Source organism: Homo sapiens, chromosome 16 (genome assembly GCF_000001405.40).
Source record: "Homo sapiens chromosome 16, GRCh38.p14 Primary Assembly".
NCBI lineage: Eukaryota > Metazoa > Chordata > Mammalia > Primates > Hominidae > Homo > Homo sapiens.
The window spans coordinates 4,329,784-4,352,000 of NC_000016.10; the positions used below are offsets into that span (position 1 = coordinate 4,329,784).

The following is a 22,217-nucleotide window of genomic DNA, read 5'->3' on the forward strand; positions in this document are numbered from 1 at the left end:
GAAAGACGGGATCTCACAGCGTGATTGTGCGGCAGTTAGATTTTCAAGTTGTAATAATCCCAATGAACAAACGCAAGGAAATGTCGTGTTTAACCGCGTAGGAAAAGATTGCTGCTCTGAATGTGAAGTTTGGGTTTAGAATGAAGTGTTGACCTTGTTCTTGGGTCGGTGGATACTGTTAGATCATTTGCATGTGAGGAAAATTACACCAGGTGGGGCGAGGTGGCTCACACCTGTAATCACAGCACTTTGGGAGGCCGAGGTGGGCAGATCACCTGAGGTCAGGAGTTTGAGACCAGCCTGGCCAACATGGTGAAACGCTGTCGCTACTAAAAATAGAAAAATTAGCTGGGTGTGATGGTGTACACCTGTAATCCCAGCTACTTGGGAGGCTGAGGCAGGACAATCGCTTGAACTCGGGAGGCAGAGGTTGCAGTGAGCCCAGATCACACCACTGCACTCCAGCCTGGGTGACTGAGAGACTCCATTTCCAAAAAGAAAATGAAAATTAAACCAGTGAGAAATTCTAAGAAAAATGATGAAAATTACAGCATGGGAAGTGATACTAAAAGAATACCATCTCCAGTAAAAAATAATTTCTACATATTTATATATTAACCGCCAGATACAGCTGGTCAACTCCACCAACCCTGCCCCAGCTGGCCAGGCCAGGCCACAATCCCCAGCTGCCCCCTGGTGGCGACCCAGCGCCCTGGGGCTCCCTGGCTTGCGATGCCTCTCCTCTAGGCCTCTGCAGGGAGGGCGGTGGGGCCCCTGGCTGTGCCCACTTTCTCGGTTTGCCTGGTGCGAGTTCCTTGGTGGTGAGCGTGGCTACCTGCCGGCCATTTCAGAGGATGCTCCTTGCCCCCTGGCCTGGTTCTAGATCTTTGGGGTCAAACAGGGCGGGAGTCCGGAGCATGGCTCCTGCTCTGTCAGAAAAGGCTGTTAGGACACGGCTAGCCAGTTCCCGGGAGATCTGGCTTCAGGCCTTGAATCTTGTTGGGAACAGGCCCCCCAAAATCTGGCTGTAAACTAGCCCCAAAACTGGCCATAAATAAAATCTCTGCAGCGCTGTGACATGTTCATGATGGCCATGACGCCCACGCTGGAAGGTTGTAGGTTTACCAGAATGAGGGCAAGGAACACCTGGCCCACCCAGGGCGGAAAAACTGCTTAAAAGCGTTTGGCTTTTTGTTTGTTTGTTTGTTTTTGAGACGGAGTCTTGCTCTGTCGCCCAGGCTGGAGTGCAGTGGTGCGATCTCGGCTCACTGCAAGCTCTGCGTCCCGGGTTCACACCATTCTCCTGCCTCAGCCTCCCGAGTAGCTGGGACTACAGGCGCCCGCCACCACACCTGGCTAATTTTTTTTTTTGTTATTTAATAGAGTTGGGGTTTCAGCGTGTTAGCCAGGATGGTCTCTATCTCCTGACCTCGTGATCTCCCCGCCTTGGCCTCCCAAAGTGCTGGGATTACAGGTGTGAGTTACTGCGCCCGGCCACAGGCGTTCTTGAACCACAAACAATGGCATGAGTGATCTGTGCCTTAAGGACACGCTCCTGCTGCAGATAACTAGCCAGACCCATCCCTTTATTTCCCATAAGGAATACTTTCAGTTAGTCTATAATCTATAGAAACTATGCTAATGACTGGCTTGCTGTCAATAAATACGTGGGTAAATCTCTGTTCAAGGCTCTCAGCTCTGAAGGCTGTGAGACCCCTGATTTCCCACCCCACACCGCTATATTTCTGCGTATGTGTCTTTAATTCCTCTAGCGCCGCCGGATTAGTCTCCCGACCGAGCTGGTCTTGGCAAATCTGATAGTTTTTCCACTTCTGAGCTCTGCGATCTGAGGCGATGCCTGTAAAAGACGCAGTTTCGCCAAGCGTGGTGGCTCAGGCATGTAGTCCCAGCGTTTTGGGAGGCCAAGGCAGGAGGATCGCTTGAGGCCAGGAGTTCGAGATCAGTTTGGGCAACATGGAGAGACCCGATCTCTACAAAAAAGAAAATTTTTTTTTTTAATTAGCCAGGAGCGGTGCCTGCCTGTAGTCCCAGCTACCAGGGAGGCTGAGGTGGGAGGATCGCTTGAGCCTAGGAGGTCGAGGCTGCAGTGAGCTATGATTGTGCCACTTGCACTCCAGCCTGAGTGACAGAGCGAGACTCTGTCAGCAAATAAAATTCAGTTTCATGGCAAAATGAAGAATGTGAGCTTTGTCTTCCCCAAGAGACTCATGGGAAGCAGATGCGGAATCTCTGAGGAGGCTGTTGGCTCTCCCCCCATGATAGCTGCCGGCCAGGTCGCTCGGAGGGTCTCCCTACCCAGGAGACAACCTCACACTGCCCCCTGCTCCTGCTCCTGTTAGACTGTCATGAGTACAGCCCGAGGAGAAGCCTGGGGTCTCAGTGCCACAGCACAGCTCCTGTCCTTCCCCAGGTTCCTGCGTGAAGACCAGCTGGGAGCCCACTGCCTGCTGCCACCTCCAACTCCGGCCCCCTCACCATGCACTCCCTGGACGAGCCGCTCGACCTGAAGCTGAGTATCACCAAGCTCCGGGCGGCAAGAGAGAAGCGGGAGAGGACGCTGGGTGTGGTCCGGCCCCGTGCTCTGCACAGGGAGCTGGGCCTGGTGGATGACAGCCCCACACCTGGCTCTCCAGGCTCCCCGCCCTCAGGTACTGGCCCTGGGCAGGGCAGGGGGACTTAGCCCTGATCCAGTCATGGTGACAGGGAGAATGGCCAAGTGTGTCCACCAGCATGTAGCTGCAGCCCCTCTCGGCTTCCGGTTCATGGGAAGCCCGCACGCTTGTCCTTCCATCCGCCCAGCATCGTATGTCTGCAGGGAGGTGGGAGCTGCAGTGCCCAGCTCACGTGGCTGGCACACGATGCAAACTGAGGCCTCTAGGCAGATCTGGAACAGAGCTGGTCGGGCAACCAGGCATTCAGAAGGAGCGGCAGTAGTCCCAGGACCTGCACCCTAGGCTGTGGGGTGGTGCCGCTGGCCAACCTGGGCAGTAGAGGCTGGGTCTGAGCCCAGGAGGTGCCTCTCAGGGATTCCCGGTGCTTGGGCCCAGGGTGGTGGGCACCACTTCTGCCCTGCCTCCAAGAGCAGAGTCACCCGAAAACCAGATTCACCGCTTGTCTGAAGGGGAAGGCTATGGGAGCAGCCCAGCCCGAACCTGCCACTTTACAGAAGGGAACACTGAGGCAGGAAGGGGCCTGGGAAAAGCTAGAAAGGTTCCTACCTGCCCGTCTGACAGGGACCCAGGGGCCCTGGGTTCGAGTCCTGTTCTGTTATTAACCCTGCGTGCCAGACCATTCCCGTCTGCAAAGCGGGCACTTCCCCCCTCCCCGGCTCACGGGGGCCAAGCTCTGGCGGCTGGTAAAGCTCAGAGGTGGTGGGTGGTGTCACACACCTGTCAGCTCCACAGGCTGCTCCTCACATTCGTGTGGTCTGGGGGCATGGCTGGTGTCTGCTCCCAAGGTCACAGTGGGGGTTCGGAGGCAGGAGTACCTGGCCCACTGGGACTCTACACTCCAGCACACCCTGAACTGTGCCTCTCCCTCAGGCTTCCTGCTGAACTCCAAGTTCCCCGAGAAGGTGGAGGGACGCTTTTCAGCAGCCCCTCTCGTGGACCTCAGCCTGTCACCACCATCTGGGCTGGACTCCCCCAATGGCAGCAGCTCGCTGTCCCCCGAGCGCCAGGGCAACGGGGACCTGCCTCCAGTGCCCAGTGCCTCGGTAAGGAGGGGTGAGAGTTCCGGAGAGAGGGGTGGACTGGTTTCCTGGGGTTGCCATGACAAAGTACCCCAACACTGAGTGGTTTAAAAAACAGATGTGTTACCCCTCATAATTCTGGAGGCTGGAGTCTACCTGGAAGGCTCTAGGGGAGAACCTTCCCTGCCTCTCTCCTGCCTTCTGGCAGCTTCTGGAAATGCCTGGCACTCTAGCCTGGTAGCTGCTTCACTCCAGGCTCTGCCCTGTCTTCACACGGTCTTTGTCCCTCTGTGTCCGAATCTCTCTCTGGTTTCTCTTATAAAGACACCAGTCATGGCCGGGCACGGTGGCTCACACCTGTAACCCCAGCACTTTAGGAGGCTAAAGTGGGAAGATCGCTTGAGCCCAGGAGTTCAAAACTAGCCTGGGCAACATAGCAAGACCCCATCTCTATTTATTTTTTTGAGACAGAGTCTTGCTTCATTGCCCAGGCTGGAGGCCAGTGGCCCGGATCTCAGCTCACTGCAACCTCCGCCTCCCGGGTTCAAGCGATTCTCCTGCCTCAGCCTCCCAAGCTGGGACTACAGGTACACACCATCACACCTGGCTACTTTTGTATTTTTAGTAGAGACAGGGTTTCTCCATGTTGGTCAGGCTGGTCTTGAACTCCTGACCTCAACTGATCCGCCCATCTCGGCCTCCCAAAGTGCTGGGATTACAGGCGTGAGCCACTGTGCCCGGCCTTTTTTTTTTTTTTTTTTAAACAGGGTCTAGCTCTGTCACCCAGGCTGGAGTGCAGTGGCATGATCTCGGCTCACTGCAACCTCTGCCTCCCAGGTTCAAGCAATTCTCCTGCCTCAGCCTCCCAAATAGCTGAGATTACAGGCATGTGCCATCACGCCTGGCTAATTTTTGTATTTTTAGCAGACATGGGGTTTCACCATATTGGCCAGGCTGATCTTGAACTCCTGACGTCAAGTGATCCGCCCACCTCAGCCTCCCAAAGTGCTGAGATTACAGGCGTGAGCCACCGCACCTGGCTATATATTTTTTTTAATTAAGAAAATAAAAATTTAAAACACACCAGTCACTGGGTGTTGGGCCCACCCTAATCTAGTGTGACCTCATGTTAACTTGATTACATCTGCAAAGATCCTAGTTCCAAATAAGGCCACATGCACAGGTAGGGGCTGGGGAGAAGAGGACCTGAATGTCTCTGTTTGGGGACACCATTCAGTCCACTACCGATGGGACGGGGGGCTCTGGGCCAGCAGGACCTTGACTAGCCCTCCCCTCGCACCCCAGGACTTCCAGCCACTGCGCTATTTGGATGGTGTCCCCAGCTCCTTCCAGTTCTTCCTGCCCCTCGGCTCCGGGGGGGCCCTGCACCTGCCTGCCTCCTCCTTCCTTACCCCTCCCAAGGACAAGTGCCTCTCGCCAGACCTGCCCCTGCCCAAGCAGCTGGTGTGTCGCTGGGCCAAGGTGAGTGGGGGCCAGCAAGAGTAGTGTGGAGTCTGGGGCAGGTCACCCCGCATGGGCTCAGAACACTTCCCATCCTCCGCAGTGTAACCAGCTCTTTGAGCTCCTGCAAGACCTGGTGGACCATGTCAACGATTACCATGTCAAGCCCGAGAAGGATGCGGGGTACTGCTGCCACTGGGAGGGCTGCGCCCGCCATGGCCGAGGTTTCAACGCCAGGTGAGGTGGGGGAGAGAGGGGTAGAGGGAGGACTGGGGTCTCCAGTGAGCTGAGCCGTGCCCCCCGCCCTCCCTGGAGCAGGTACAAGATGCTCATCCACATCCGCACACACACCAACGAGAAGCCACACCGCTGTCCGACCTGCAGCAAGAGCTTCTCCCGCCTGGAGAACCTGAAGATCCACAACCGGTCGCACACAGGTAAGAGGCCGGGGCCGGGCGGCTTGGCCCATGAAGGGGGCGCTCAGCTGAGACCGGCTGGGCAGGTCCCCAGGGGGAGGGGACTGTTAAGTAAATCCCGGGCCTCAGAGATAAGGGTTGATGTCATCGCCCAGGGGTCCCTTTTCCAATGCAGTTTGCTAGGGGAAGCATCCCCTGGGGGTCAGACCCCCACCCAGCACCTGCTCTTGGAGCACCAATGCCATTTCCTGGTTCCCGTGGGTATCTTCTGACTAATGCCACCTCTGTGATCGCAGAGGCCAGGTCGGCTTCACTCCTCACTACAGCCCAGGCCCATACCAGGACAGCTCTGGTTGTCAGAGCCACAGACATAATTTTACATTTCCTAATCGCTGCATAAAACACAGCAAAAATAAATGGGTGAAATTAATTGTAATATGGTTCGTTGACCCCGGTACATCCAACGTGTTATCAATTCATTATTAAAGACAAATCAGTGAGATATTGAAGTTCTTCATTTCATGACAAAGCCTCAAGGAGCTGATGTGTATGTTTTTTCCTGGTGTTTATTTCACCCTGGCAGCACATCTCCAGGTGGAGAGCCATGTATCAGGAGGTCAGTCACTACATGTGGCCCCCTGCTCTGGCCAGGGCAGCAGAAGATGCCTGGTGAACCTTCAGCCATTTGTTGAGTGAGGGCAGTAGCGCCCAGGCAGCACTCCCTGTGGCCAGGCCCACGCTGGGCGCCTCGTGCCAGGATGTGATCTCCAAGGCCATGGTGTCTTTTTTTTCTTGAGACAGACTCACTCTGTCACCCAGGCTGGAGTGCAGTGGCATGATCTTGGCCCACTGCAACCTCTGCCTCCCAGGTTCAAGTGATTCTCCTGCCTCAGCCTCTGAGGTAGCTGGGATTACAGGCACCTGCCACCACACCCAGCTAGTTTTCGTAGTTTTAGTAGAGACGGGGTCTCACCATGTTGGCCCTGCTGGTCTGGAACTCCTGGCCTCAAGTGATCTGCCTGCCTTGGCCTCCCAAAGTGCTGAAATTACAGGCGTGAGCCACCGGGCCCGGCCTCCAAGGCCATGTTCTGCTGCTGAAAGGCACATCCTCTGTAGCAGAGGGTGCAGGGCGAGGCTAGGCAGAGCTGGAGTCAACCAGGCTGAGTTTTCAGCCTCTGTGCCCTGCCTGGGGGCAGATCTCATGCCATGTGCTGGGGATGCCCCCTGCCCCCAGAATTGGGGCATCTATGTTCCCAGGGAGTGCTTGGCCCGGGGAAATGTTGAGTGCATGGGGTGAGACCCAGGAAGGGGAGAGACCCCTCATGGCGGCACTGCACTGCACCACCCTGCAGGTGAGAAGCCCTACGTCTGCCCCTACGAGGGCTGCAACAAGCGCTATTCCAACTCCAGTGACCGCTTTAAGCACACGCGCACCCACTATGTGGACAAGCCCTACTACTGCAAGATGCCCGGCTGCCACAAGCGCTACACGGACCCCAGCTCACTGCGCAAGCACATCAAGGCCCATGGCCACTTTGTGTCCCACGAGCAGCAAGAGCTCCTGCAGCTGCGCCCACCCCCCAAGCCGCCACTGCCCGCCCCCGACGGCGGCCCCTATGTCAGTGGGGCCCAGATCATCATCCCCAACCCAGCTGCCCTCTTTGGAGGCCCTGGCCTGCCCGGCTTACCCCTACCCCTGGCCCCCGGCCCCCTTGACCTCAGTGCCCTGGCCTGTGGCAACGGTGGGGGCAGTGGGGGTGGGGGGGGCATGGGCCCTGGGCTGCCAGGCCCCGTCCTGCCTCTCAATCTGGCCAAGAACCCGCTGCTGCCCTCGCCCTTTGGGGCTGGCGGACTGGGCTTGCCTGTGGTCTCCCTCCTTGCTGGCGCAGCTGGTGGCAAGGCCGAGGGGGAGAAGGGGCGTGGGTCGGTGCCCACCAGGGCCCTGGGCATGGAGGGCCACAAGACGCCCCTTGAAAGGACGGAGAGCAGCTGCTCCCGGCCAAGCCCCGATGGACTCCCCCTGCTGCCAGGCACCGTGCTGGACCTGTCCACGGGCGTCAACTCAGCTGCCAGCAGCCCAGAGGCGTTGGCCCCTGGCTGGGTGGTCATCCCGCCGGGCTCGGTGCTGCTCAAACCGGCTGTGGTGAACTGAGCCCATCCTGCGGACAGTTGTGGTGCCCCCCCGGCAGCTCCCGGCACTGCCCCCGACGAACGGAAACTCTTCTGTGAAATAGCAATAATGTCCTACTGCCCGGGCAGCCCCAGCCCAGCCCGCCGGGAGCAAGGATGGTGCTAGGTCATTCATGGCTGGCCTCCCAGCCCCCGGGTGGGGACCTGGCCTGTCATGCAGGGAGAGCTGTGCTCCTGGGTGCTGAAGCCTCGCTCCTGTCTGTCCCCCACCACCTGGCCCTCAGCTTCTGAGAGGCTTTCCCCTGCCCGACCTCCTCCCGTTTCCCTCTCCCACCCTGGCACCTCCCTCACCTAGTGACCACCCATGGCAAGTTGCCCTCTCCCAGCAGAGGGGGTGGGTGGGGTGGCATCTGCCCTCCCTGCTAGCACCAGGCTCCCCCTTCCTGAGAGGAGCCCCCAGGGACCAGAGGCCTGCCCTTCCCTCCTAGGCTTACCCAGCCCCTGCCCTGGGGGCTCCTTGGACCCCTTTCCCTCTGACCCTGCCTCCAGAGGGAAAGCAAGACAGATGCAGGCCCCTGCAAAGCCCCAGGTAGAAGCATGCCCCCCAGGACAAGGCGCCTCCCACTAGTTAGGAGGAGGCCCGCTCTGCAGCCGCCGTCCTCACCCCAGGCCAGGCCTGCAGTACCAGACGGGATAGCTGGCCACTCCACCCCTGCACCCCAGGGTCTCCTCCCTCTACCTTTTGGGGCACCCTGGGAGCGTGGGAAGCAGGTCCGAGGGCCCCTGAGCTGGCAAGGGGAGGTGCCAGGCCAGCTGTGGTGCCAAGATACTGAGTGACCTGGGCCCTGGCTCAGGGAGCATGTGGGGCCAGGCCCAGCGCCCCGTCTTCCTCCTTCTACCCCCGCTGGGCCTGGCCTGGGCAGCGCCCCCTGCAGAGGCCTTTGGGTCCTTGGTCCTGTAACAGGAAGGGGGAGGCTGGCTGGGGACGACCGACCACAGGCTGGGACACAGCTCCTGGTCTGGGGGCTCCAAGTGACAGCATGCAGGGGAGGGGGCTCCCAGTCAGTGCTGTGTTGGGAGCTTTCTGGAGGCTGTGGACTGAAGGCCTTGAGGGAAGCAGTGGCTGGAGGAGGGTGCTGGACCCATGACACGTTGCTTCCTCTGGCTTTTCCCTGCTGGGCCGCTTTCTCAGAGGCACTTCCCCACCCCTAACACCCAGTGGGCCCCCCCAGGTTCTGTGCCACTCAGAGGGACCCTGGCAGGGGCCAGAACCACTTAAGGGTGGTGCTGGAGGGCCTTGTGCCCCAGTCCCATCCCAGGACGCCCTGAGGGATGGACGCAGCCATGCACCCCCCATCTGGGGCCTCTCCCTGCTCCCTCTCCCACCTGGCAGCTGGGAGTTCTGGCTTCTAGGCCTGCCCTGTCACCAGGCCTCTGAGTGGCCAGGCCCTTCCACCTCCCCATCTGTAAAACGAGGCAGCTGCCCGGACAGCCTTGGGGTCCTTAGTGGCCCTGCAGGTCCTCTGGCAGCTCTGCTGACCCCACCCTCTCCCGGACTGCCCTTCTGTCCCAGAGGGGTCACCCTGACCCGGCCCACCTTGCCACTGGGCTTTGGACTCCAGCCCTGACAGGGCCCAGCCACACTGGCTCTGCCCCTCGAAGGGGCTATGAGCAAGGTAGGAGGGAGCTGGTCTCCTTTCTTCGGGCCCCACCCAGGCCCTGAGCACCCCCCACCCCTGTGAGGGCCCCAGGCCTTAAGTCCCTGGCGGGGTCATGGGTTTGCGACTTGAGCAGAGCGGAGGAACAGGGCACTGGAAGGCCGACGAGCTCAGCATGCGACTCGGTGACGGACCAGGCTCGGCAGGGCCGGTGTACTTTTTGTGGTTGTCATTGGTGTGTTGTTGCACATTCCAGGACGTCAGTATTTTAACAGGTTCTAAGTGCCTTTCTATCGTAGCTTATGTTTTCCTCCTCTTGGCTCCATTGCTGTTAGCATAGAGTTTTAAAAAAAGAGATAAGCTAATGACTATAACAATATATTCCTCCATGGGAGAGGAAGTTTATAAAGAAACAATAAAAGTGAGTTGCAAAGATGGCTTGTATGTCGTGGATGTGCCAGGAACCCGGCCCTGACATGAGGCCACCACTGCCCTGAGCCCCTGCAGGCCTGATCCGGGCTTTCTCCCCGACCCTGCAGGTGCCCCTCCCTCTCAATCTGCCGCTTAGAGCAGGAACTGGAAGGTTGGGAAGGAGGTAGGTGCTGAGGGCGCACAGGTGACAGGAACTGAGACAGAAGATTCCAGGCGGAGCATCCCAAGGTCCAAGTCCTCAGCCCACTACTGCCCGCTGCGGCTTTGGAGAGTGGTGGGCAAAGGCCCTTCTCCCCCCAGCCACATTCTGGGGTACTGTGCCCAGATTACTGAGGTGCTAGGTTCAAACCTGCCCCAGGGACAGGGTGGCTGCCGACAAGAGCTCTGGGGCCAGGAGACCGCCACCCCGTGGGAGGGGCAGGGGCGCTATGGGAGGGAGCCTCACCCTGGCACGGGTGCTGTGGAAGCAGGAGCGGCTGCATCCTGTACGTGACAGGACTCAGCTGGAGCCCACTGGCTGGCTGCCCGCCAACCTTACCCAGCCCGGCCCTTCTGGGCTGTTAAAGGCTGCTGCCTCCCCATCTCCAGCACCCACAGCCCTGCAACCGGCAGGAGGAGCAACCTGCCTTCTGGAATCTGGACACATGCAAACGAGAAATGCAGAAAAGAAATTTATTACCAAGCTATAAATTAGAGGCGGCGGGGTGGGCGGGGGGAGCCGAGCAGTCACGTATGGGGCATCTGCCCTTTTTCTCTGTCCTCCTGGGCCTGGATTTTGAGTTCCTCATCCAGGCGCTCCTTTGCGCGGACCACCTAGTGGGTCACGGATAATCAGGCCGGGAGGCCAAGCCTCCGCCCCATACCCCTTGCCCACATGGGATGGCCTATTCCCATCAGCCCAGGTCCATTTTTTGAAGGGCAGTGGGTGGATACCAATGCTTCCTTCAGTGGCACCCCAGGGTCGGGGTGGCCTGGGGAGACAGAGCTGGGCTGCAGGGCCCAGCGCATGCTGTGACCTCTGTGAGCTGAGAGCTGTTTCTAGCACCCCACCCACGGGGGCTCCTGCTCCTTCGAAGTCCCAGCTGCTGGGAGGGAGGGCTCTATCTGGGGTGACACAGCCTGAGTGGCTGGACCCCGCAAAGCTGAAGCAGTCAGAGGGGTGGCAGTTCAGGGGGCCTCCCTGAGGCTGGGGCACCATGGGAAAGCCTGGCACAGTTTTCTGTGTGCCAAGCCCTTAGCTGGCCAGCTCCCCCAACTAGGAATTGAGCCCCAGGTGAGAAGAAGGGGTCCCATGACTTCATTCCTCCCAGAATCAAAGACCACTCACCTTTGACTGCAGGTAGAAGGAGCCACCCACGGATTTATCATTCACCTTAAATAAGTGTTCATAGTTCTGCAGAGGAGAGGGGACGGGTGAGAGGGCTGCAGACTGCAGGCAAGAGATGTTGGGCAGGCTATGTGGGGCCACGTGAGAGAGGCAACAGGACTCCTCTCCACCCTGTGTGCCACACCCAGCTGTTGTGGCCACTGAGAGGCAGAGATGGGGACGGGTACCCTGGAGGGCAACTGAGCTGCTACTGGAAGGCACTCTTTGTCTCTAGACTGTCCTGCCTCAGGCCTAAAACTTCACGAGCAACAGTGGCTCCCGAAAGTTGGAGTCCGAGCTGGGTGCAGCTGCAGCCTCCACATCGGACCTCCCTGGCCAGGCCTCCCTTCACTCTTCCCACCCTGGCAGCCTCTCCCTCTCAAACTTTGGGGTGGCCCAGTGGCCTCACCTTCTGGACCTCCTCAGGGCTCAGCTTGGACACGTTGAGAATCTGCTGTGCCTCCTGGAGGCTGAGGCCGGAGAGGTTGGAAGCGGCTGCAGACCGGTGTCCAGCGCGTCCTCGGGCATCAGCTGCGGCCCGGCTGGCTGTGTGGACATGTGGGTGATCGCTCAGTCCTCAGCAGCCCACACTTCACCCTGGGCCTTCCGAGTTGGTGGCTCACCCCTGCCACCAGCACAGGATGAGAGACACAGGGACAGGTGGCTAGGAGCTGCCTCTTCTCCAGGAGTGGTTTCCTTTTTAGGGGGTAGAGGCTGGGAAAGTGAGGACAGACGTGCCTCACTGGAGGGTAAGGGCAGGATCTGACCGCTAATCCTGGCTCCTGGTCCCCAACCTAGACCATGAGATGACCCTGTCCCCCAACCCCCATATCCCAGGGGAACAGCAAATTGGGGAGCTTTAGGCTACGATGGAGACTGTATAGTGGGGCTGCGGGCATGAGAGGGCTCTGCAGGGGCCCAGCTGCCCACCTGTCACCTAGACCACCAAAGCCACTGCCTTGGGTGACCTCTCCCCTTTCAGTGACCCCAGAACCTAGAATCAGGAGCTGCTAAACTTTTCCTAAAGGCTCAGAGAGTAGCTATTTTAGGCTTTGCGGGCTAATGAGCCTACACTGGAACCATTCAACTCTGCCTTGAAAGCAGCCTGTCGGCCGGGCACAGTGGCTCACGCCTGTAATCCCAGCACTTTGGGAGGCCAAGGAGGGCAGATCACGAGGTCAAGAGATCGAGACCATCCTGGCCAAAATGATGAAAACCTGTAAAATACAAAATTACTAAAAATACAAAAATCAGCTGGGTGTGGTGGCACATGCCTGTAGTCCCAGCTACTGGAGAGGCTGAGGCAGGAGCATTGCTTGAACCCGGGAGGCAGAGGTTGCAGTGAGCCAAGATCGCACCATTGCACTCCAGCCTGGGCAACACAGTGAGACTCCGTCTCAAAAGAAAACAAAAGGGCTGGGTGCGGTGGCTCACGCCTGTAATCCCAGTACTTCAGGAGGCCGAGGTGGGCATATCACGTGAGGTTGGGAGTTCAAGACCAGCCTGACCAACACGGAGAAACCCCGTCTCTACTAAAAATACAAAATTAGCCGGGCATGGTGGCGCATGCCTGTAGTCCCAGCTACTCAGGAGGCTGAGGCAGAAGAATTGCTTGAACCCGGGAGGCAGAGGTTGCAGTGAGCCAAGATCGCACTATTGCACTCCAGCCTGGGCAACAAGAGCGAAAACTCCGTCTCAAAAAAAAAAGATTTATTTACAAAACCAGGGCCGGGCGCTGTGGCTCACACCTGTAATCCCAGCACTTTGAGGCAGGCGGATCACCTGAAGTCAGGCGTTCCAGACCAGCATGGCCAACATAGTGAAACCCCGTCTCTACTAAAAATACAAAAATTAGCCTGGTATGGTGTCGGGTGCTTGTATTCCCAGCTACTCAGGAGGCTGAGGGAGGAGAATCACTTGAACCAGGAGGCAGAGGTTGCAGTGAGCCAAGATTGCCCCACTGCATTCCAGCCTGGGCGACAGAGTGAGACTCCATCTCCAAAAAAAGAAAAAACAAGTTTACAAAATCAGGTATCCAGATGGGCCAGTGTGCCAGCTCCTGCCCTGGATGCTCTTGCTAACCAGGTACCACTGAAGAATGCCCCGGTCTGGCATCACCCCCCACCATGGGAAGTGCCTCAGGCCACGCACACTTCAGAACCGCCAGGCCTGAGGTGCCCATGGCTACGGGGAAAATCTGACCTGGAGAGGAACTCCCAGCCCACAGGGGAGACGGACCCATGCTTACCTGCAAACTCCTGCCGCAAGGCCCGTGCAAAGGCCCTGCCCACCACCTGCACGCCCATCACAATGATCTGGGCCAGGTACTTGGCCTGTGGGCAAAGCAGGCACCCGGTTAGCAGGCCACTCCCTGTGGGCCCACAGAGATGGGCCCTGGAAACGGCTGCCGAGGGGCAAGGCTCCCGGAGACCCGAGGTCATGAAGCACAGAGCTGCAGCCCCAGGCCAACCCCTCCAAAGCACCCTGAATGAAAGCTTCCATGGTGGGTGGCTTAGTTACTCACTGGACAGGCAGGCAGGCGGGTGAACTTGACCGAGCTCCCAGAGGCAGACTGGCCCCACCTCATCCTTCAGGAAAGGCGTAGAGGAGCAAGGCAAAGTGGCTGCAACCACCGGCTTCAGGAAGAAACACTGTGGTCTGGGAGCCAGAACACAGGGACAGCCCTGGACCTGGCAGTAACTCACTCTCGACCCTGGGGCCGACCATCACTCTTCCTGAGTTTCTGAGATCATCAGGCCCAACCTTTACTTTACCAACGGGGAAACAGATCTGTCCTAATTCTCCCAAGTCCGAAGACTTTAAGTCCATTCCATTCAATAAAACAAACTTACTATGCAAACCTGTTTCCATCTTCAAGGAGCTAAAAGCCCACTAGGAGGGTATTTAAACACACTATGGACCAAATCATGAGGGAGAGTCAGGCTCGTTCATTTGTGCAGCCATTGGTTCACCCATTCATTCAAACATCTGCTGAGAGTCTACTCTGCTCAGCACTTGAGCACAAAGCTACACAGAACCTGGTCCCTGCCCCGAGTCAGAGCACACTGCTGGCCTGGCAGGGAACCCCACTGTCACACACCAGGCTGAACATGCCGGAACACTGCACGTGTGATTCCATGCCCCGCAGAGGCCCTGGGGACTCACTAAGATGTGAGCGGAAGCAACAGAGTCGAGGGAAAACTCAAGACTGAGATGGGATTCGGTGAGAGGAGGGGGTTCTGTGTGAGAGGAGGGCGTTCCGTGAGAGGAGGGGGTTCCGTGAGAGGAGGGGGTTCCGTGAGAGGAGGGGGTTCTGTGAGAGGAGGGGGTTCTGTGTGAGAGGAGGGGGTTCTGTGAGAGGAGGGGGTTCCGTGAGAGGAGGGGGTTCTGTGTGAGAAGAGGGGGTTCTGTGTGAGAGGAGGGGGTTCTGTGTGAGAGGAGGGGGTTCTGTGAGAGGAGGGGACTGTGTGACAGGAGGGGGTTCTCTGAGAGGAGGGGACTGTGTGAGAGGAGGGGGTTCTGTGAGAGGAGGGGGTTCTGTGAGAGGAGGGGGTTCTGTGAGAGAAGGGGACTGTGTGAGAGGAGGGGGTTCCGTGAGAGGAGGGGGTTCTGTGAGAGGAGGGGGTTCCGTGAGAGGAGGGGATTGTGTGAGGGGGGGTTCTGTGAGAGGAGGGGGTTCCGTGAGAGGAGGGGGTTCCGTGAGAGGAGGGGGTTCTGTGAGAGGAGGGGGTTCCGTGAGAGAAGGGGGTTCCGTGAGAGGAGGGGGTTCCGTGAGAGGAGGGGGTTCTGTGAGAGGAGGGGGTTCCGTGAGAGGAGGGGGTTCTGTGAGAGGAGGGGATTGTGTGAGAGGAGGGGATTGTGTGAGAGGAGGGGGTTCTGTGAGAGGAGGGGGTTCCGTGAGAGGAGGGGGTTCCTCCTGGGCTGGGCTTTGCAGGGTAGGAAGAATCATGATGGAAATACTAGGGCTTTCTAGGCAGAGGGACTGGGTTGAGCCAAAACTGGCAGGAGAGAAGGCAGAAGGGAGTTCCTGCGAGCAGCCAATAGCCTAGGCTGGCCTGGGAAAGACTGGGAATCTGGCGGATGACATGGAAAGATGCACAGATCTTTGTGAAACAAAGCGATTATATATAGACAGCACATACAAAGGATCTTGTGACTGCAAAGCCGTAGACGCAGGGGGGTGGCGCGGGCTGGAGGCAGCTCGGCATAGGTTGAAAGCTCATGTGGCACAGCCGAGTGACTTTCCCTTTCTTCCTAGTGCTTTTCTGTAGATTTGCCTTCAGTCAACAAGTATCAACTGAGTCCACACACCAGGCACGGTGCCAAACACGTTCAATTCATTGTGCCGTTTAATTCTGACAACTCAGGGGTGGGGGACTGCTGACTGGCCCGAGGACGTAACAGCAGGTGCCTCGGAGGCAGATCGGAAACCCAAGGCTGGTGCTATCTGTCACAGCAGTCACTACGCAGGGTCCCGGGGTCTGAAGGTAGGGCACCTGGGCAAGCCGACAAGTATCAAGAACCCAACCCCGAGGCCAGAGGGGCTTGCTCCAGATTCCAGTGGATTCGACTCCAGAGCTGGCCTTGTTCAGCCTCCGAGGACCTGCTCTTTCCTTAACAGGTGGGATGTCATTATGGGCCATTAGGGGAATGAACAAACAAGTGGGTTAAGATTTCAAAAGTAGGTGGAAACTTCATAACTTCTGGATTTCACAGCAGAAAGAGCCCAGAGAAGACCCTCCTGTGATCACAGCGAGGGGCAGGGCTGTGGCTGTACTGCAGATGAGGGAGGGTCAGGGATGCACCTGATGACACCTGCGGTCTCACCTGACTTCGCCTCCTTCCTAAAGCCCCTCCCGAGTGGAACAGGAGGCTCAGGGATGGGATGCTGGTGCTGTCTGAAGGACAGAGGTGAAAGTCAGAGGGTCCCCTCGGCTTGAAACACGGCTCAGGTCTCAGACTACCCCTCACACCAACAGCCTTCGGTCCCTCTGCTGCCATCGTACAGCCTTGCAATCACTTGTTTACTTTTCTGCCAAGGCCAATGACTGTTGCAAAATAATGAACGGTAAGAGCTGAGGTCATAACTGGGGAGCTTCCCCGACCATCCCCTGCACACTTCAAACCAAAGCGGCGTGGTGGCCTGTGGCTTCAGCTGCCTAGAGCTGCAGGGCAGAGGGGGGCTGGCCTGCAAAGTTTCAGCAGACTGGACGGCCCATTGAGGCCAGCAAGGTTCCTATAGGAGGCATCTCTGAGAAGACGCAGTGTAGTGTAATGGTTACACCTGCAGGCTTTGGGATCACCTGTGTGCAAAAATCCCAGCTATCTGACATAGACACGTTCTCAACTCCTTTGAGCAACCCAGTTTGCTTACCTGTAAAATGTGGCCACCAATAAAGCTGAGATAATGCCTGTCAAATGCCTGGCACACAGCCTAATGGTACAGCAGGTGCTCAATAAACATTGGTTTTCATTCATTACTACTGTTTCACAAAATCTGACAATGACCAGGCACTATGAAGTAACAAAGCTTCTTTCAAAATAGCAGCTCATTTGATACAGGCCCTTTGCTTCCTCAGGGGTGAAGGCTGCAAAACACCATACTACATTCCCTCAGGGAGCTGGGAAGCAGCAAGGAAGCAGAACGAGAACCACGTTGACCTGGGACCAGAACCCTAGCTTTCTTTCTCAATAGCTGTGTGACCCTGGACAAATTACTCAACCTCTCTGAATCTTTTTTTGTTTTGGTTTGGGTCTTTTATTTTTTATTTATTTTTTTGAGACTGACTCTCGCTCTGTCACCCAGGCTAGAGTGCAGTGGTTCAATCTCGGCTCATTGCAACCTCCACCTCACCAGTTCAAACGATCCTCCTGCCTCACCCTCCCAAGTAACTGGGATTACAGGTGAACACAACCAAGCCTAGCTAATTTTGTATTTTTAATAGAGACGAGGTTTCACCATGTTGGTCAGGCTGGTCTCAAACTCCTGACCTCAGGTGATCCACCCGCCTCGGCCTCCCAAAGTGCTGGGATTACAGGCATGAGACACCACACCTGGCCTTTTTTTTGGAAGCAGAGTCTAACTCTGTCGTCCAGGCTGGAGTGCAGTGGTGCAATCATGGCTCACTTGCAGCCTCAGCCTCCCAGCCTCAAGAGATTCTCCTGCTTAAGCCTCCCGAGTAGCTGGAGCTACTTGTACTCAGCCTCCGAGGACCTGCTCTTTCCTTAACAGGCGGGATGTGATATGGGCCATTAGGGGAATGAACAAACACAAGTGGGTTAGGATTTCACAAGTAGGTGGAAATTTCATAACTTCTGGAGGCTGAGCACACGCCACCACATTTGGCTAAATGTACTTTTCTGGAGAGATGGGGTTTCGCCATGTTGCCCAGGCTGGTCTTGAACTCCTAGGTTCGCATGAACTGCCCTCCTCGGCTTCCCAAAGTGCTAGGATTACAGGTGTGAGCTACTGTGCCCAGCCTACCTCAGTTTTCTTAACTGCAAGATGGAGAGAATAACACCCTCCTCACAAGAGGACAGTAAGGCCCTCAGGAGGCAATGCCCATTAACACCACATGGACAAACAGCGGCAGGTCCAGAACTAGGCGGTGCAGGCAAGCCCCTCATCCACCTATCCAGTACCCCAACATCCCCTGAGCTTCTGCCATGGGTCAGGCTGAGTTCAGAGCTCATTCACAGGGAGCAGAGCTCTGCCAGCTGTGGCTACCATGGGTGACCAAAACAACCACTGCCTGAGGCCCCTCCCAGAGGCTCCAAACATCCCATAGTCCACCGACTGACACTTGGGCCTGAGGGTCCCAGGTGAGAGGACCCAGCTGACTTGGCATCCAACTTCAGGCCACGCGGCTGTCAGAGAGCAGCAGTCAGAAGCACAGGATCCAATCCTGGCATGCGTGGGGGCAGCATGTGCACTTCGTTGTTGGGCAGCAACCTGGCCCAAGGCAGGACCAGATCCCAGCAGCTGGGACCACAGACAGTGCTGTGGGAGGCACTCAGCAATGGGGCTTACACTGACTTGTGTCTTTGAGATTCGCGTGCAATGCGCCTTTGAGGCCAAGCCCCAGGCTCTGGGTAGATAAGCAGACAGCCTGAGACTCACTCTCAAGGACACTCTGGTCACCCAGGGCCCCTGAGAATAGATACGGGCATCACAACTAGACAGGAGAAAGGTCAGGACCACAACTGTAGCACGTGCCACAACATCAGGGACCTGGCCAGTGGCTGGCGCAGTAAGTGCCCCTGGTGCATCTGAATGAATATGGCTGTTGCAGCTTTGCCCAATCTGCTGTCTCATGAACTCCATGTCCCCAGGCAGGGTTTCCAAGCGCCTCCTAACCCTTCTGCGGGAGGGTTCTGGCCATCTCCCAGTAAACACACAATTCTCCACCGCCGCCTGCAGATTTGGTCCACTCCCCAGCTTGGCATTCACAGCGCCTGGTCTGGCCTCAACTTCTCAACCTCACCTCTCTCCACGCTGCAGCCACACCCTCTGCTCCTAGAGCCGCTCTCATACTTCTGTACTCCTCAGGGCCTTTGCTGTTCTGAGTTCCTCCACCTTGAACATCCTCCCTTCTACCCTGATCCTGTCAAAACCCAACATCCCTCAGGACCTAATATCATTCCCCATCCCCCGGGTGAAACCCTTTCCAGGCTCTCCCATGTATACCTTCCGACAGCACTTTCTTTTTTTTTTGGAGATGGAGTCTTGCTCTGTCGCCCAGGCCGGAGTGCAGTAGTGCGATCTCGGCTCACTGCAGCCTCTGCCTCCCGGGTTCAAGAAATTCTTCTGCCTCAGCCTCCTGAGTAGCTGGGACTACAGGCACACGCTGCCATGCCCGGCTAATTTTTTGTATTTTTAGTACAGAGAGGGTTTCACCGTGTTGCCCAGGCTGGTCTCGAACCCCTGAGCTCAGGTAATCCACCCAAAGTGCTGGGATTACAGGCGTGAGCCACCGTACCCGGCCTAGCACTTTCTTTTTTTTTTTTTTTTTTTGAGACGGAGTCTTGCTCTGTCACCCAGGCCGGAGTGCAGTAGCGCGACCTTCGGCTCACTGCAAGCTCGGCCTCCCGGGTTCAAGCCATTCTCCTGCCTCAGCCTCCTGAGTAGCTGGGACTACAGGTGCCTGCCACCACACCCGGCTAATTTTTTGTATTTTTAGTAGAGACGGGGTTTCACCATGTTAGCCAGGATGGTCTTGATCTCCTGACCTCGTGATCCACCCGCCTGAGACCCCCAAAGTGCTGGGATTACAGGTGTGAGCCACCGTGCCCGGCCAGCACTTTCTTTTCCTGTTAATATACTGTCATGCTGGGTGCGGTGGCTCACGCCTATAATCCCAGCACTTTGGGAGTCCGAGGCAGGAGGACTGCTTGGGCCCAGAAGTTTGAGACCAGCCTGGCAACATGGCGAAACTGCATCTCTACAAAAAATACAAAAAATTAGCTGGGCATAGTGGAGCATGCCTGTTGTCCCAACTACCCGGGAGGCTGAGGCTACTGGGGAGGATGAAATGGGAGGATCACCTAAGCCCCAGGAGGTTGAGGCTGCAGTGAGCTGTGATCGTACCACTGTACTCCAGCCTAGGAGACCCATCTGGGGCAACACAGCAAGACCCCACCTCTACATAAAATTTAAAAATTAGCCAGGTGTGCTGGCACTCACCTGTAGGCCCAACTACTTGGGGGTCTAAGGTAGGAGGATGGCTTGAGCCTAGGAGTTCAAGGCTGCAGTGAGCTAGGATCGCTCCACTGCATCCTAGCCGGGGCGACAGACAGACATCCTATCTCAAAAAACAAACCAAAAAAACCCCATGAGTTTTGGGACAGAGCTGGGCTCAAAAGAGGTCTCTGACACCATGGGATGCATGACTATGGTGGAGTCAAAACTGTCTGGGGCTCAGGTTCCTTATCTGTAAAATAAGGACAATGACAGCAGGACTTCATAAACACTAAATGAGAGACTCTACATAAAGCCTTAGCTCAGGGGCTGGCACTTGTACGCCGTTAGCTGTTACATTATCCTTATTACTATGTTAGTTAAGAAGTGGCTCCCCGAACCAGCTGCAACAGAGTCACTTGGGGAACTTACGTGTGCAGAACCTCCAGGGATAGAGCTCAAGAACCTGAACTTTTTTTTTCCCCCTCTTTTTCTTTTTGAGAGAGTTTTGCCCTGTCGCCCAGACTGGAGTGCAGTGGCACAATCTTGGTTCACTGCAGCCTCTGCCTCCTGGGTTCAAGCGATACTGGCGCCTCAACTTCCCAAGCAGCTGGGATTACAGGTGTGTGCCACCATGCCTGGCTAACATATGTATATATTATGTGTGTGTGTGTGTATATATATATATAAAATACATGATATATAAAAATATATATAACATAATAATATGTAGTATACATAAATGTATACGGTATATATAATACATATATATAATTTTTTTTTTGAGACGCAGTCTCACCCTGTCGCCCAGGCTAGAGTGCACTGGCGGATCTCGGCTCATTGCAACCTCTGTCTCGCGGGTTCAAGCGTCTGTCCTGCCTCAGCCTCCCGGGTAGCTTGGACTACAGGCGCGCACCACCCCACCCGGCTAATTTTTTAAATTTTTTGGTGGAGACCGGGTTTCATCATGTTGGCCAGGCTGGTCTCGAACTCCTGACCTCGTGATCCGCCGCCTCGGCCTCCCAGAGTGCTGGGATTACAGGCGTGAGCCACCGCGCCCAGCCAAACCTGCACTTTTAAAGCTACCCTAGGTGACCTGACAGTGTGGCGCAGGTCTGTTGACTGGCTCTACGTGCCAACGATATCACACAAACGCTCCGTGCTCGGTGTCTCGGGGCCTAGTTCAAGTCCCAGGTCAGCCACTTCCCTGGAAAGGCCAGCTTTCCACTGGGGATAACAACAGGGCAGCAACATCGACTCTGCAGCGCTGTAAGGTTCCAGGGCAGGGGAGGCGCTCACCAGCCAGACTCATGCTCCACCGCTGCCCACGGCTGCTCGCTCACACGCGGGCTAGGCACAGCGCGACCACGTTTGCCCGGCCTCTTCCAGGCAGACGGTTTTCCCTGGCCCTGAGGCCGCCGGTGCCGCCGCTGCCGGCCTCGATTCCCCCGGGTGCAACGCCCCCAGACCATGCTTCCCGCCGGGCACGCAGGGGGCGCACGGCGCCCGCCGCCCAGCCCGGAGCTCGCCGCCCGGCCCCCGGCCCCCGGCCCGACTCGGCTTCCCCTCCCCGGTAGCGCCCGACTCGGGGCTCACCATGGCAGCCGCTCTGCCTCCGGGGCTCAAACTCCGACTTCCTGGCCCCGCGGCCGGGGATCAAGCGTGGTCGGCGGGTCAGAGGTCAAGGAAAGCCGCAGAGAGCGCGTGCGCGATACGGCGCTGGGCATGCGCATTGCCTCAGTCTAAGGGCGGGCCACCGGGAGCGTCTTAGCGGCTCGGGGCGGGGTCGGAGGCGGGGTTTGACTGAGCCTGCGTCGGGCTCTGGATAACTGGGGGCGGGCTTGGGAGGGCAAGGGGCGTTACCGGGAGTCTCAATTGCCCGCGTGCTTACCCCAGTGCGCTGGAGCAGCTAAGCACATCGGTCAGACGTGGGGCGATTTCTGCCCTTGATTTTGCCAAAATATTTGGGAATGCAACATTATATGAAATCAATGAACATAATATGGAGTAGGATGCTAAATTCTCAAAAATACTTTAGAAAATAGAAAACTTCAAAATAGGTTTCATCCACATTCCTCCTGCCTGAGAAGCTCGTTCCCTTCTTCAAATCTTTGCTCAAATGTCACCTCAATGAGGCCCACCTGGACCCCTTAAAACGCCGTGACTTGCCCTCCATGAATGAAAAAAGTAACAGCTTTATTGAGATATAATCCATACACTGTAGATTTCATGATTTTCAAGTGCACAGTCCAATGCCTTTTATTCACAGAGCTGTGCCACTGTCACCACTATTAGTTCCAGAACGTTTTCATCACCCATTAGTCACTCCCCAGCCCCCTCCCCCAGCCCCTGTCAACCACTCATT

General features: G+C 56.9%; 3 protein-coding genes across 4 annotated transcripts in view, besides 4 other annotated features; 1 reads left to right on the forward strand and 2 right to left on the reverse strand.

Annotated features, from left to right (window-relative positions):
• GLIS2 (GLIS family zinc finger 2) overlaps window positions 1–9,812 on the forward strand; it is a 24,835-nt gene extending 15,023 nt beyond the window's left edge. For both annotated transcript variants that reach the window (NM_001318918.2, NM_032575.3), the window contains 6 exons: window positions 2,432–2,669; window positions 3,564–3,736; window positions 5,018–5,194; window positions 5,277–5,410; window positions 5,492–5,610; window positions 6,942–9,812. In NM_001318918.2, coding sequence (NP_001305847.1) covers window positions 2,498–2,669; window positions 3,564–3,736; window positions 5,018–5,194; window positions 5,277–5,410; window positions 5,492–5,610; window positions 6,942–7,741 — 1,575 coding nt within the window. In that variant the 5' untranslated portion in view covers window positions 2,432–2,497 and the 3' untranslated portion in view covers window positions 7,742–9,812. The remainder of the gene's footprint in view (window positions 1–2,431; window positions 2,670–3,563; window positions 3,737–5,017; window positions 5,195–5,276; window positions 5,411–5,491; window positions 5,611–6,941) is intronic.
• Window positions 9,759–10,505: an enhancer, noted in NCBI's record as "H3K4me1 hESC enhancer chr16:4389543-4390289 (GRCh37/hg19 assembly coordinates)". NCBI's record gives its function as "activates a minimal SCP1, AML or CMV promoter by ChIP-STARR-seq in primed H9 embryonic stem cells {active_cell/tissue: H9 hESC(primed)}" and the evidence as "EXISTENCE:reporter gene assay evidence [ECO:0000049][PMID:30033119]".
• PAM16 (presequence translocase associated motor 16) lies at window positions 10,468–21,538 on the reverse strand. Its single transcript, NM_016069.11, has 5 exons — window positions 21,449–21,538; window positions 13,424–13,508; window positions 11,585–11,721; window positions 11,137–11,202; window positions 10,468–10,622 (listed from the first exon to the last, which is right to left on the reverse strand). The coding sequence occupies exons 1-5, from the start codon at window positions 21,449–21,451 to the stop codon at window positions 10,536–10,538; spliced, it is 378 nt and encodes a 125-aa protein (NP_057153.8). The 5' UTR covers window positions 21,452–21,538; the 3' UTR covers window positions 10,468–10,535.
• Window positions 10,468–22,217, reverse strand: part of CORO7-PAM16 (CORO7-PAM16 readthrough) — a 76,346-nt gene continuing 64,596 nt past the window's right edge. The window contains exons 28-31 of the mRNA NM_001201479.2: window positions 13,424–13,508; window positions 11,585–11,721; window positions 11,137–11,202; window positions 10,468–10,622 (exon numbers count right to left, since the gene is read on the reverse strand). Coding sequence (NP_001188408.1) covers window positions 10,536–10,622; window positions 11,137–11,202; window positions 11,585–11,721; window positions 13,424–13,508 — 375 coding nt within the window. The 3' untranslated portion in view covers window positions 10,468–10,535. The remainder of the gene's footprint in view (window positions 10,623–11,136; window positions 11,203–11,584; window positions 11,722–13,423; window positions 13,509–22,217) is intronic.
• Window positions 10,506–11,251: an enhancer, noted in NCBI's record as "H3K4me1 hESC enhancer chr16:4390290-4391035 (GRCh37/hg19 assembly coordinates)". NCBI's record gives its function as "activates a minimal SCP1, AML or CMV promoter by ChIP-STARR-seq in naive H9 embryonic stem cells {active_cell/tissue: H9 hESC(naive)}" and the evidence as "EXISTENCE:reporter gene assay evidence [ECO:0000049][PMID:30033119]".
• Window positions 15,151–15,351: a silencer, noted in NCBI's record as "peak2471 fragment used in MPRA reporter construct". NCBI's record gives its function as "represses an SCP1 promoter by STARR-seq MPRAs in K562 erythroleukemia cells {active_cell/tissue: K562}" and the evidence as "EXISTENCE:reporter gene assay evidence [ECO:0000049][PMID:32103011]".
• Window positions 17,566–18,066: an enhancer, noted in NCBI's record as "H3K4me1 hESC enhancer chr16:4397350-4397850 (GRCh37/hg19 assembly coordinates)". NCBI's record gives its function as "activates a minimal SCP1, AML or CMV promoter by ChIP-STARR-seq in naive H9 embryonic stem cells {active_cell/tissue: H9 hESC(naive)}" and the evidence as "EXISTENCE:reporter gene assay evidence [ECO:0000049][PMID:30033119]".

Excerpts from the sequence above, each read along its gene's own strand:
- PAM16 (NM_016069.11), bottom strand. Across the intron at positions 11,203-11,584 it reads GCCCTGAGGAGGTCCAGAAG|AACTATGAACACTTATTTAA; the intron begins GTGAGGCCACTG and ends TCTCCTCTGCAG. Across the intron at positions 10,623-11,136 it reads CCTTCTACCTGCAGTCAAAG|GTGGTCCGCGCAAAGGAGCG; the intron begins GTGAGTGGTCTT and ends GTGACCCACTAG.